The sequence below is a fragment of the Homo sapiens genome, chromosome 10 (genome assembly GCF_000001405.40).
Source record: "Homo sapiens chromosome 10, GRCh38.p14 Primary Assembly".
Classification (NCBI taxonomy): domain Eukaryota; kingdom Metazoa; phylum Chordata; class Mammalia; order Primates; family Hominidae; genus Homo; species Homo sapiens.
Window position 1 is genome coordinate 105,194,766 of NC_000010.11, and position 13,910 is coordinate 105,208,675.

Here is a 13,910-nt window from a genome sequence, read left to right on the forward strand (position 1 = left end):
GGAAATTTCTGAAATTCTAGATTGATGGTCTGGGTAAGTTGTTCTCAAAATACGGTCCTGGGGCCAGCAACATCAGCATCACCTGGAACTTATAAGAAATTCAAATACTTAGGTACCTCAAATGTACTAATAAGAAACTCTGGGAGTGAGACATTCTATGTTTAACAACCCTGTAGGTGATTCTGATGTAGACATTGGAGAACCTCTGGTCTAGAGATAACAGGACCATTTGAGCTTCTGAAGAAAGAGCTCAGTGTTGCCAGAGGAATCACAGAGGACTTTTTGAAATAAGTATTGCCCGATTTGAGAATTATAGTATCCTTTTAATGATGCTCCATGCCTTTGGTTCTTCCATCCTAGCTATCTCTTGGGCTTTAATATTCTATTGATACATGAACCACTTTGTTCCCCCTGTAAAAGTACTACACATATGAGAAGTGTGCTGTACCTATTTTGCTGGTAACAGGCTCTCCTTAACTTAAGAGGAGTATTTCTGGCAGATGAGAAACTTTTACTGGAACTTGATTATTTTCAAAATTATTATTATCAATTAGAAGCGGTCTGGGCTTTCTCTTTTCCTAATTCAGAATCAAGAGGACCTTCTCAGTGTTCATCACTCCAAAGTGATGGACATGGTTTATGATGATGCCCACTTCAATTTCTCTGTTGGTGTCTTACTTCCACAGATCTTGTTGTAAATTTTAACATCTGCTCCTTGGGTATTCATGAAAAGAGAAGAAAAATATTTGAATTTGAATTAGTTCTTAATTTCATTCCCTGCTTATTTTGCTATGTTTCTGTCATTTCTTCAGCTTCCATAAGCTTTAATCAGAAGAGCAATGAATTAATGTGATATTGAACAGAATTAGGGAAGCTGGGTCTATACAAAAGTGACCATGTGTCTGAGTCATGTATGCCCCATAGGAAAGGGACCACAGTGAACTTTGCTCTTCCCTAAGCTGACAATGGGTGGATCGATGTGGAATACATTAACGTCTGAAAGTTGCTAGGGGATTTTACCCCACTGATCTTATTTGGGGCCCATTGAGAAAATGAGCAAAGCTCATAATCCTACCAGTGTTTAAGTGATTAAAATTTTGCATCTGATACACGAAAGTGACCTCCCGGGAGAGGAAACTAGCACACTCCTGAGTGAACATATTAGTGTATCAGTTTACAGTATGGGGAAAGACCTGGGAAACACAATATAAGAAAATCTGGGAAAGAAGCCAAAGAAATGCACATGAAAGGAATGTACCTGTGAGGATTGCAAAACAGAACAATCGAACAAGTCTGTAAGTCCTGACTGAGCACCTATTCTTGTGTTCTGTCCTGAAATGAGCACTCTGAGATCAGTAATGGATATCTCAAAGAGTTGGAAAGACCAACAACATGGACATTCTTTGAGGCTCGGAGTCAATTAGGCTGTACACATGGATGATGCTTGCATGCTGCTCCATAGATCAAGCCTGAGCTTGAATTTCTATGCTTACTAACTTTTGAGCATCTCTTGTTCCTGTTGTTAGAACCTTTGTCTGTTAGAAAGTTCCCTCACAGGCCAGGTGTGGTCGCTCACGCCTGTAATCCCAGCACTTTGGGAGGCTGAGGCAGGCAGATCACCTGAGGTCAGGAGTTCGAGACTAGCCTGACCAACATGGAGAAACACTGTCTCTATTAAAAAAGTACAAAATTAGCTGAGTGTGGTGATGCATGCCTGTAATCCCAGCTACTGGGTAGGCTGAGGCAGGAGAATTGCTCGGACCAGGGAGGTGGAGGTTACAGTGAGCCAAGATTGCACCATTGCACTCCAGCATGGGCAACAAGAGTGAAACTCTGTTTCAAAAAAAACAGAAAAGAAAGTTCTCTCACATTTTATAAACTTCCACACTTTTATTTTTTCATGCAAGAGAGCTCCCTAGAATATCAACCTGCTGCTCTTCCCTCACTGCACTTAGGAATCCTAAGTCATGTCCAGGTTAACTAGCCTGAGTTCTTACACTGCAGTTTGGGTAGATGAAAGTGGTCTTGGATCATATTGCCACCTGTATTAGTTTCCTGTGGCTGTTGTAACAAATTTAGTGGCTTAAAAGAACAGACATTTATTCTCTTGTAGTTCTGGAGTTTAGAGTCCACAATCAAAAGGTCAGCAGGCCTCTACTCCCCTGGGGCTCTAGGGGAGAATTCATTCTTTGCTTCTTCCATCTTCCTGAAGTTCCAGGTGTTCTTTGGCTTGGGCTGCATAACTCCAATTTTGGCTTCTGTCTTCACATGGCCTTCTCCTCACTGCATGCTACTCATCTTTGTGTCTTTTATAATGATACTTGTCATTGGATTTAGAGCCCACCCTGATAATCCAAGATGATCTCAACTCAAGACCCTTGATTTATAAGTGCAAAGATACTTTTCCCACATAAGGTCACATTCATAGCTCCAGGGAATAGGAAGTGGTCATATCTTATTGCAGGTTACCATTCAATGCAGTGTACCGTCTTAGTCACTCTCTTCTTCAGTGGTCCTTAAACTTTAGGAACTATGAACCCCTTTGAATAATCTGATAAAATATATGTGATTTTTATTTATAGATGAGTACTTATGTGCCATTAAGCACCTTTTTGTTTGTTTAAAATTTAAGCAGATTCATACTTCACCACCACTACCAAAGCCCAAACATGTGCTGTAGATTCAAACACTCAGTCTATATCCTTCTTGAATGGTAACAGTCAAAAGCAACCACAATTTTCCTGGTGATCTGGTTAATGTAGAAAAAAACAGGTTATTGCCTCTTTGGTTCTAGACAATACATATAATTCTGTTAATGCATTTCAAGATCACGTTAAATATTTTATGTCTCCCTGAAGTGTTCACATTGTGTGTGGAAACTCTTAAGCTGCTATTATTATTACTATTAAACCTGAAAAGTACCAAGCCCCATTTCTTTTATCTGGTACTTATGTAATTACCATGGAGAGGATCTAGCTAACATTTCTCTAGGTGACATCACACCTTATTAAATTAAGCCTGTCTCTTTAGTCTGTCACGACCTTATTGAGTCTTGCTTCTGCCATCGAGCATATTGAGGGCTTCCTCCAGCTTTATGTCATCAAAAAATTCAATTTCCAATGATGACCATTATTTTCATGTCTTCAAGTCGTTAATAAAAATGATGAACAAGAAAGAGCAGACAACAGAACCTTGCAGCGGACTACTCACACCTCCCTCTTGGTTGATTTTAATGTCTTCATTAGGTACTGTTCAGCCACATAATTTTACCAAGCACCTGGCTCATATTTTCTCAATCTTTTTGTCAAGATTCCTATGACAGACCCTGTTCAAATGCCATGCTGGTATCCAGGTAAATCATGTGCTTCACATTTTCCTCTTCTGTCTGCCTAGTAACCTTTTAATAGAAAGGAATGTGATTAATCTGACATGACGTTTTTTGTGATCCAGGAAGTAAATTTGAACTATGTGGAGTCAACAGAAATATATGGTTTAGCATCATTAACATCCTGCACTAGTAAGTCTTCCAATCAGGGAAGACTTACTGCTGGAAGTGGTATCTGAATGCGAGAGTTTTGAAGGCTGGATAGAGAAAAAAAAGATATCCATCAAGGTCTCCTCCCACTGTTTTTGTTTGTTTGTTTCGTTTTCCCTTGATGAGGCTTATCAGTTTAACTGTCCTCTCTTCAAACAAGCAAAAATGTTTGATAAGAGAGAGCTGTTTTGTTAAAGATTTAAAATGGACTGACCGCTATGTAAAATGAATTTAGAGCTAAGAAATGGAAATACCTTAGTGGATGACCTGGCATTGATGAATTGGATTTGGAAACCACTGGATTTACCAAGACTACAAGAGAACAGAGAGAACCCAGGGAGAGGGAGTTAGGTTTGCTTTGCTCCACAGTGTCAGCTGCATATGTTGGGTATTCTAGGCTCAGAGTTTCTCCTACCCCATGCTGAGCTTAGATCCACACAAAACCCATGTAGTTTTACTAAAGGAGAGATCCTGTCTCTCTTTCAAAGTCTGCTTAATTTTCTTTTAGATAAGCCTCTTAAAGGTTTTATTTAACTTTTATCTGAAGCACATTCAAAATTGATCCTGAGATGTATTGTAAATTGGATGATCCACAAAAGCAACTCTATATTCTTCCTCATTTCACAAGTTTTGTCAGTCTCTACCTTTCCCATAAGCATCCTCATCTTTTAGAGAGCATAAGAAAATGACCCAGGAAGAGAGTTAATCTTGTAGGTGTCACCATAACAGTATCTGAACTTGGGCAGAGGAGAATCCAGGGCTGGTAGTGTGATTAAGTCTTGCTGAAATGGAAGCCATCCAATTCCTTGAAAGACCTCAGTTGTTTTAAGTTCGCAGCATGATCGGTCTCCCCTTTACATCACTATGATAGATGTCTTGCATTGTAATTGCAAGACACGCCACCCGAGTAGAGTATGGATGATCAGTCTTTTTTTTTTTTCCATTTTTCTAGAAACAATTGATCATTCATATTTATAGGGCAATCAACTGCTGGGCTTTGAAAAGGTCAGTATTGATTATCTAAGTCACAGATGGTGTGCTTCTTTACTATACATAAATATGAGTTCCTTTTATGAGTCTGCTGTGATTCTTTTTTCTTTTTAAGGAAGGAGGAGGGAGGGTAGGTAGGTATTCATGTGCGTTAAACAATGGAATTTCAACTAACACTTAAATTCAACTAGGACTTTGCAGTTGGCAAAGTTGTACTTTAAATTAGCAAATTCATTCCTTCTACCCCAACACATATACTTACAATCCACTTTACAGATGAGGAAACTGAGTCCCTGTCCATGGACATGGGTAGGCAAAATGCCAGTGCTTGCATTAAGGAGAAATGGGAAGGCTGTGTATCTAAATCTGAACAGGGGTTTTATATGGGTGTTGAGTTTGGGACTACCGGTCCCAATTTTTTTTCTTTACTGGGCTTTTTATATTTTAAATGCTTCCTGTAATAGGCATATATTACTTTTGCAATTTAAAAAATGGTTGATTTAAAACCCACTGTGAATGACATGCCAGTTGATTGAATTGTATGGATAGTGGACTTTCTCCTTAATGGCCCTCAAGGAACTCACTTTGGAAGAATAACTAAAGTCCAGGCTGCAGTGAATCTCTATCTCCTTCCTAGTTTCTGTGCATTAGTGACTGACTATGGGACTTTCTCCCCTTGTGTCTCCCACTCCTCCCCTAAACACTTAGAGTTTTTGGCCACTTCAGCCTCCGCTCCGAATGGCAATTGGTGAAAGTGGACTACAAATCTATCTTCAGCCGGCATTGCACCAAGGAGGACTATCAGACCTGGCACCTGCTCAATCAGGTACACACCCCAGGGAGTTGGAGTGCTGGCTTTGAGGAGGAGGAGCTAGTGCAAGTCCGACTGGGTCTTATCTGAGCCTTCCTATTTAGGGGAGGAAGGTAGTGGGTCATCTGAGGATGTGGGTGTGGATTTGGAGAAAAGGGTGAAACACACTCAGGTCCAGTAGGGCCAGATGATATTTAGGAACTATCTCGCACCCTGGGATCCTATCTACTAATTGAGGTCACTGAGCTGCCTGGGGGAAAGGTGTTGATGATAACCTGGGGTTTTAGCTCTATCCATGGAGAAATGAGCTTTTTACAGCTAGAAGGCCTCCAAGAGTTGCTCATTTTATCTGCCAATGTGGAGGGCGAGAGCATTTCTCAGACTAGCCTGAAATAAGGGACCCAGAGCACTGGGAACAGGTCCACTGAGAAATGGTGTCAGGGTGGGTAGGTCTAGCAATGGTAGATATTTACTGCTGTGAGAAATAGGCAGACTTCTGCTCCAGAACCACTGGGTCCTTGTAATTTGTATCAACTTCTCCTTTCTTTGTTCTTGACTGGGAATTAAGATTTGGGCATGGTCGTTTATCATAGAGAAGGAACATTTTGGGTCAACTTCAATTTCCCTCTGAAGACCATGTGAAAAATGTGCCATAAATGGGCTCCTTTCCACTAGAATTGCTACTGAAGCCATTTGGGCAAATGTACCTGGTGGTCTGCAAAGATGCCTGGAGTCCTTACATTCTCTATGGAGGTGGAGCAGAAACGGGATGATGTAGACATCACTGGCTTGGGTGGGTGGAGGGTAGAAGTGGGCCCACCTTCCATAATGTTCCTTTTATGTGGTAGTGAAAGATTAGCACTTTTATTCTTGAAACTCCTGGATCATTACTGAGAATGAGACTGCTACATAAAGTACCTAAATGAGAATGAACAGGCTAATGCTTCTTGTTGACAACTGGTTTATTTCACCACCTTTTTGTTTTTCTGTCTCTCACACTATGGAATTTCTCTCTAAGGGAGAGCCTTGTGTCATGGGAGAAAGGAAAATATTCAAGAAACGTAAGCCAGGAGCTCAGTGTGCCCTGGGCCGAGACCACTCAGGATCAGTGGTCTCAGAACCCTGTGTCTGTGCCAATTGGGACTTCGAGTGGTGAGTTGTTTGGCATTTCATTACCAATTCCAACCAGGTCTTCACCTGTCTGTGGGGTGGGGTGGGGTGAAGATGAAGTTAGGAGAGGAAGCATGACGCAGAGATAGGAGGTGTATCTGCTGGCCTGTGGGCCCATCCATCCCAGTTACTGGGCCAGATGGGAAGTCTGCATTCCTGGAAGGAGGACAGGCTGAGGCATTTTCACAGAGAGAGTCACTGATCTATCAGAGCAGCATCTCTCAGGGGGCTTCTTCTCATCTACACTGAGCAGCTGTATTGGAAACTACTGGAGAAGTTGTGCTGGGCATTGACAGAGGTTAGAGAGCTACTGCCTTGCTGTTGCCTCCAGCCACATGCACTCTCACTGTGCTCTTCTACGTGACCTCTCTCTTGTTTCCTTTTTCTCCCCCTAATAACAGCAATGGAGAACAACCTTAAATCTCACTTAATGAAATTCAAATCTCACCTATAGACAATTACTCCCAAATTTCCAAATATTTACCTCTGGCCCTGGCCTCCCCCTTCTCTTGGTTGGACACATATGTGTCTGGCTGTCTACTCAGCATTCATCTCCTCTTGATTCACTATCAGGGTTATCAAACTTAAGGCAGCCAAAGCAAAGCTTTTCTTGAATCCCCTTCATTGGAAGGAGTCCCTTGCCCAGTTTTTCTAATTTCAATAAAACACACAGCTATCCACTCAGTTGCCAGAAGGGTTTGGTTTCTCCTTTTCTTTCACTGTCAGATCCAGGCCATCTGCAAGTCCTTGCAGTTTCTACCCTCAAAACACATTCTAAGTCAAATCACTTCTTTCCATCTCTCAGCTGTTTGTATCACTCCAGGAATCGAACTCTCTCCACATCCACCCTTGTCACTTAAAATTCATTCTCCTCACAGCAACCGAGATGGTATTTTAAAAACTCAAACCATATCTTATCACTACTACACTTAGAATACTCCAATATCTTCCCCCTCACTTAAAATCTAATCTTCTTTCCTTAGTTTCCTCCATTGTAGGTGATTTAGCCCTGCAATTACCTTTATGTCAAAATTCCTTACTGTTCTTACCTCATTCACTGTATTGCAACCGCATTACCACCTCCTGCACCTTTATTAATCCTGGCTCATTCCTAGCAGAGGGAGCAGAAAATGCAAGAATTTCTTCCAAATCTTAGTATGGCCGGCACCTTTGAGTCACTCATGTCTCAGCAAAAATATCAGCTTCTCAGAAATGCCTTCTGAGACCACCTAATCTCACCTATACCCTGGCACAGTCTAGTATATCCCTGTTTTATTATCTCCTTAGTATTAATTGCCGTACAAAATGAACATGTTTTTGATTGTTCCACTATCACCTATCTCTCCAGTAGAATGTAAGTGCTGGGAATGCAGGAGTTTTAGACTTTCCTTGTTTCTGCATCCACAGCGCCTGGCCCGCTGTAAACATTCAATAAAGAGTTGTAGCATGTTTCTGAACATTGTTCCTTTTAGGAGGGTCAAAAATCTCCCCAATTCTGGGAATGGGTACATAGCACTCCGATCCCAGCTGGATGAATTCTTCCCCTGCATCACAATAAAAAGCTAAAGTTCAATTTGATTATTTTGGTAGCCCATCTCAGCTTTGTCTTTGTTAAAAGACAAAACTAAGGGCTTGGGCATTGGCCTCTAAACTTGGGAGGGGCAGGGCAATGATGGAGCTGCATTTGGGCTTCTCTGGCATCAGATAGTCAAAGTAAGTCCAAGTGGGCACAGAGCAGCTGCCCCTGAATGGCAGCCTCACTTCTTCCAGCCTCATTTCATCCAGCTGGTTTTTTAGCTTGATTTGTACTAGAAACTATCCTTTGTTTCCCACTTTCTGCTAGGAATATAACTGGAAGCCAGAGGAGTGACTCTGCTCTCCACCTGTTCTTTATCCTTAAACTCATACCTAGGAAAGCATGGCTTCAGTGAAATTCATGAAAATGAGATATACTAAGTGTAATTTAAGTTTGACTAGCAGAGTCCTTTCTGTGACCATTTTGAGCCCTTGGCAGCAAAGTATATTTTCACATTGTGAAAAATATTTTCAATTATTAATCACAATTAAGCAAAAATAGTCACAGCAATGAGTGCAGTAGGCCACTCAAAATTATGGCTTGTGACATATTGATGTCAACCTGAATATTCAGAATATTAATTTTAGGCTTCCTTGTGTCCTTCTGCAGACTAACTCCATTGAGGCACACTGTCTTTGAATTTGTCATGATACATATTCTCCTGTGTCTCTGTGTGCCATAATAGACCCTCACCCATTGTTGGGTAGCATCACAAGTGAGAAGAAATAAGAACTGTAAAATATTTTCTCATCAGTAATTCCATTAACATTTACTGGTCTGGGCAAAAATTCTAGCACTGATAGTCACAGTTTTTGACCTTGGCAAGTTTTCTTAATCTTTGTGACTTCATCTCTATAGCTGCAAAATAAAAATACATGACATCTACCGCATTGGGTCCTAAGGAAGAATAAATGAATTCATATATTAATATACATCATTAATATAGATAAGGCATTTATCCTACTGATGTATAACATAGAAATACAACATAGGCTAGCTATTGCTGCTGCTGTTGATGCTGTTGTTATTCTTACACCCTAGGGTTAAGTGGTCCCTATGGTATTTTTGGAAGTAAACCAAAGCTTATACATCCAAATAAGCACTGTTTTCAGAGTAGGATCTTGGGGTCTGATCCATTTACTTCAGTACTGGTGGCATTGCTCAAAGTATTTCTGAACCCTTCTTTAGGGAGTGCTGTCAGAATCCATCTATAAGTAAAGCACGGTGGGAGAGGCGAGGGGGAGCCTTTACACGGCCTTCTGTGGTTCTCATACTTGCACTGGTAGAGGTACCATGTGGATCCAAGACGCTGTAATGTCAGGATCTTTATTATTGCCTTTTAATGAGAAGAAACATCTTGGATATAGGTTACTTGATCAAGGTTACATCCCTGGGAGAGAATGAGCTGGGGTTCAAGTGCAGATTTAGTTAAATTCCACATTCTCTCCTCTACACCCTGCCATTTCTCAAGAAATCAAACAAGTCTTTATTATTTTAGATTCATTTTGCTTCAGAAAAAAATAAAGTTTCCAAGTTTACTTACTCTAAAATTAAAACTCATCCCCAAGGACTTGGGTTTACTGCTGTTGATGAAATATAAGGTAGAATGTTTCCTCAACACTAAAACAATTTCCAATGAAGTAGTTTTGACCATTGGTACTAGAATCATAATAGGTGTATGGTCTCCAAAAATATTTTATAGAATTTTTTTTGATATATAATGTGGTGTATGTTTGCATTTTTATAGCCAATCACACCTCATATTAAAAAGAATATAGAGAACCACTTGAGTAAAGTAGAGAAGTAGACAAGGCCAGATGCTCAGTTTGTGGTCATAATCTCAGAACACAAACAAAAAAAAAACTCACACGACCTATAAAGTTTTTTTTTACTACTACTGAGTAGGGGAGAAGTTGTTTTTGATTACTGAAATTTCTGAATTATTTACAGTGATTTTTGGGGGGACAATGAGACTGAATATTTGAAATTGTCTTCTTGTTTTTAAGTTAACTTCAATAAGCATAGTGATTTGTTAAAAGATACAGTTTTTCCAACAAATACAGTTTGTCTGTTTGCTGGTCTTTAATGCTAATGCTAGAAATCAGCATATGGCGTATAGCCTTGTCCCCTTCTCAATGGTCCTCTCTAGCAGGAAGTATTATTAGCTAAGGCATCTGAAATACCCAGTACAGTTAGTACCAGTGATTATCATGCACAGTCCATTTAGATGTTTCCCTAGGCCAAATCAGGGCAAGTTCATTTGATTGATCTAGGAAAAGTTCAAGCCTCAGAGACAGCAGAGAGAGGGTATCACCTAGTTCAGTCAGTTTGGGAGGGAAGAGTAAAGACTGGGAAGGATGAATTAAAGTCTTCACTTTGGTGGAAGAATTGAGGAATGCAACCTGGATTCACAGAGGGAAGATATTTTCTGTCTCTGTCCCTCTTTTGCAAGAAAAGAGGAGGTTTTCTAGATTCTCAGAACATTTATTTGTAGCAAAACATTCACTTCCACAACTTTCTCCAGAGCGAGTATCAGTAATAAGTATGAATTCTGCATAAAGATTGATGTTTCAGCATAAGAGCCTCATAAATCCACCAGCCTCAAGCGAACCCTAGAGAGCCACTTTGCAGCAACCTCCATCATGGCGCTGGAGAAGGACCAGGAACAAATCCTTATTGAGAGTAAAGGTTGTTAGAGACCAGCAGGCAGTCAGAAAAGGTGCAAGAGGGGGCTCCTCTAAAGTCACACGAGGGCTCTTGAGAGGGAGTAGCCCTCCAGGAGACCTGAATTCACTTGTTCAGTGAGAAACGAGGTTGAACCAGAGATTATTATGCCCAGGAGTTCTTTTCTTTCACTCATTCATCTAACTTCTCACTCGACAAAAACTTTACTGAGCCCCTACTATGTAAGCAGATGTTTTACCACATCTGTGAGATGAATTATCTTAATCTTCTCAATGGACTCCCAGAAGGAGAGTCTGCTATTACAGACATTTTACAGATAAAGGAATGGAACACAGAGATGTTAAGTAATTCACTCAGGATAATATTATTCTGACTTCAGAGTCCTGAGTCTTAGTATGTATTACTGGCTACCTCCATGTCCCATATGGCACTACATCCACAAAGCAAGTTTATTGAGTGGTGATGTAGAAGACAGGGGAGGAGATTTGGGGGTGTCACAGCACATACATTCAGATGTATCCGAAGTACATTAATCTAGTGGTTCCCCAGAGTAAGCTTGAGTACTCTGCCTATGGAGCACAAGCAAGGATGTGTTTCCGCAGTGGACAAGTCAGAGGATAAACAAGACAATAAACAACATTGTTATTTACAAAATATACAAACTTTATAAAATATACAAAAGAGTTATTGCACTAAAAGAAGGCATAGCAGAAAATAATGAGTATAATTAAATGCTGAATTTTATGGTCCAAAGCTATCATAGTTACATGTGGTTATTTGAGTTAAAATGAAATAAAAAATGTTATTCCTTCATTGCACTAGTTAGGGGCTACCATATTAGCTTAATATAAAATATTTCTCTTATCATAGAAAGTTCTATTGAACAGCACTGGTTCTGACTGTATGTGCTATAGATACACAAAAGAAAGAGAACAAAAAGATCACTGAACTGAAGTAATCATGGAAGGCTTCCTGCAGGAGGTAGTGGTGGGACTATGTAGACTTCCTGCTGAGGAAGAAAAGGAAAATAGGCAGTACTTCAAAGAAATAAATAACAGACTAAGAAAACATAAACCTAAAGAAAACATTAGATTAGGAGAAATATTTGAGGAATGATTGTTGGATTTTCCAAGCATTTTCTGAAATAGTTGGGATATAATTGTAATTTTTCTTTGAGACTGTATTTGGGCTTATGTCTTAGCTAAATGATGATGTTAATGATTAATCCATTGTTTTTGTTGCTGTTGGGCCTGCTTGTGTTTGTTGAGTGCTCACTCCATGCCTACCAAGAACCTCTATTTGCCTAATCCCAAACCTACCATGCTATCCTGCCTGCTGAAGTGGAACAGGGTGCCTGTAGATCACTAGTACTGGAATCTCAACTGGCAGATGGGAGGATGGAGAAATGGGAATCAGGGAGGCTGTGATATGGCTATGAGTGGTCTGAGAGCCCCTGCAGCTTGTCTGGAAGAGACCATGACTTCTTGGTTAGCTCCAAGAGTCTCAGAATGTCATTCCTGGGGACTAGGGCCCTCCTTAATGAGCCAGTGGGTGCCCTATGGGATTGGACTCATGCTGAACAGGGATCAGGAGTCTCCATTATCACCTCTGCCACTGTCAGCTGTGTACAATCTTTGGCAAAGTCATTTCTCCTCTTTTTGCTTTTCTTTTCCAGTCTACCAACTTAGGAGACTGGATCCAAGAATAAAAGTATCCCTTCCTATTTTGGCATGCAGAGGTTTATTATTATTATTATTATTATTATTATTATTTCTAAACTGTCCTGGCTATCCCTCCTTTAGAATCTAAGCCTTTTCCCTGGATGGGATTTGGAAAACATGCAGGTTCCCGGAAATGAAAAAGTTTTAGAACTTCTAAAGCTGTTATAGTTGAGAAAGACATAGAGGTGACTTATTTCTTGAAGGAAAATGTGTGTGTGTTTGCAGAATCCGCAGCAGTAGACTTCCCCGAGGCAAATCAAACTTTCTGGTGCATTCTGTCCAAACCTCACAATTCAACAGAAAAATGCCTTTCCCCAGGAAGCTGGAGAAACAGCTGGAGCTGCTTGTTTTTCTAAATCATGCAGACTTCGGAGCTGGGAAGGAGATTGAGCTGTATGAGATATTTTAATATACATTTAGGAGAAATTAATGAAGAAGTCCACAGCTTGGAGGCAGCCAGTTTCCACTAGTGTTGTTAAATATTAATGAAATTCTTTTACTCTTTGGGGCAAAGCAACATGCCTGGTGCACCTTTTAAAATTACTGCATTGCTGACAGGTAGCAGAGCTGAACAGAACTGCTAAACACGGTTATATTTAGCAAAGACCATTAAGATGTTTCTTTCATTCTTAAAATTGCTTGAGAGAGAGCACCCTTCCTTCATAGATTACCAGTAATCCCTAGGGTTAATGGGACATTCAATAGATTTACCTAAGAAAACAACTGGAGAATTTTTGATAAGTAGTAAGGATACACCACAGCCCAATGTTTCCACAGATAAAAAATGCTTAGAAATAAGTAATTCAGGCCAGGAACATGGGCTCACGCCTATAATCCCAGTACTTTGGGAGGCTGAGGTGGGCAGATCACTTGAGGTCAGGAGTTTGAGACCAGCCTGGCCAAACGGCAAAACCCCGTCTCTACTAAAAATACAAAAATTAACCGGGCATAGTGGTGGGTGCCTGTAATCCCAGGTACTCTGGAGGCTGAGGCAGGAGAATCACTTGAACCTGGGAGGCGGAGGTTTCAGTGATCTGAGATCGCGTCCCTGCACTTCAGCCTGGGTGACAGAGTGAGACTCTGTCTCAGAGAGGAAAAAAAAAAAAAAAAGAGAAATAAGAGATCCAGTGGTGTACTTGTAAATATTTAACTGCTGGCTCTCTGGGAACTAACAAATTAATACTCCCTGATTAATGGTATCTGCTGATCATCATACATATTCCCATCATGGCAGATTTCAAACTACCAACCTGACATGAGTGAACGCAGAACTGGGGAGAGATAGCTAGTACCACAACATTATATAATATTCCCACCATGCAGATACATGGATGTAAAGCACCTCAATAGCATGGACAATAGAATGATAGAATATTTTTATATAATATATATTATATATAATAATAAAATATAGCAATCAAG

The 13,910-nt window shown here is 40.3% G+C and overlaps 1 protein-coding gene across 2 annotated transcripts in view; it reads left to right on the forward strand.

Annotated features, from left to right (window-relative positions):
* SORCS3 (sortilin related VPS10 domain containing receptor 3) overlaps positions 1–13,910 on the forward strand; it is a 623,953-nt gene that overhangs the window by 553,476 nt on the left and 56,567 nt on the right. For both annotated transcript variants that reach the window (NM_014978.3, XM_011539542.2), the window contains 2 exons: positions 5,234–5,351; positions 6,355–6,488. In NM_014978.3, coding sequence (NP_055793.1) covers positions 5,234–5,351; positions 6,355–6,488 — 252 coding nt within the window. The remainder of the gene's footprint in view (positions 1–5,233; positions 5,352–6,354; positions 6,489–13,910) is intronic.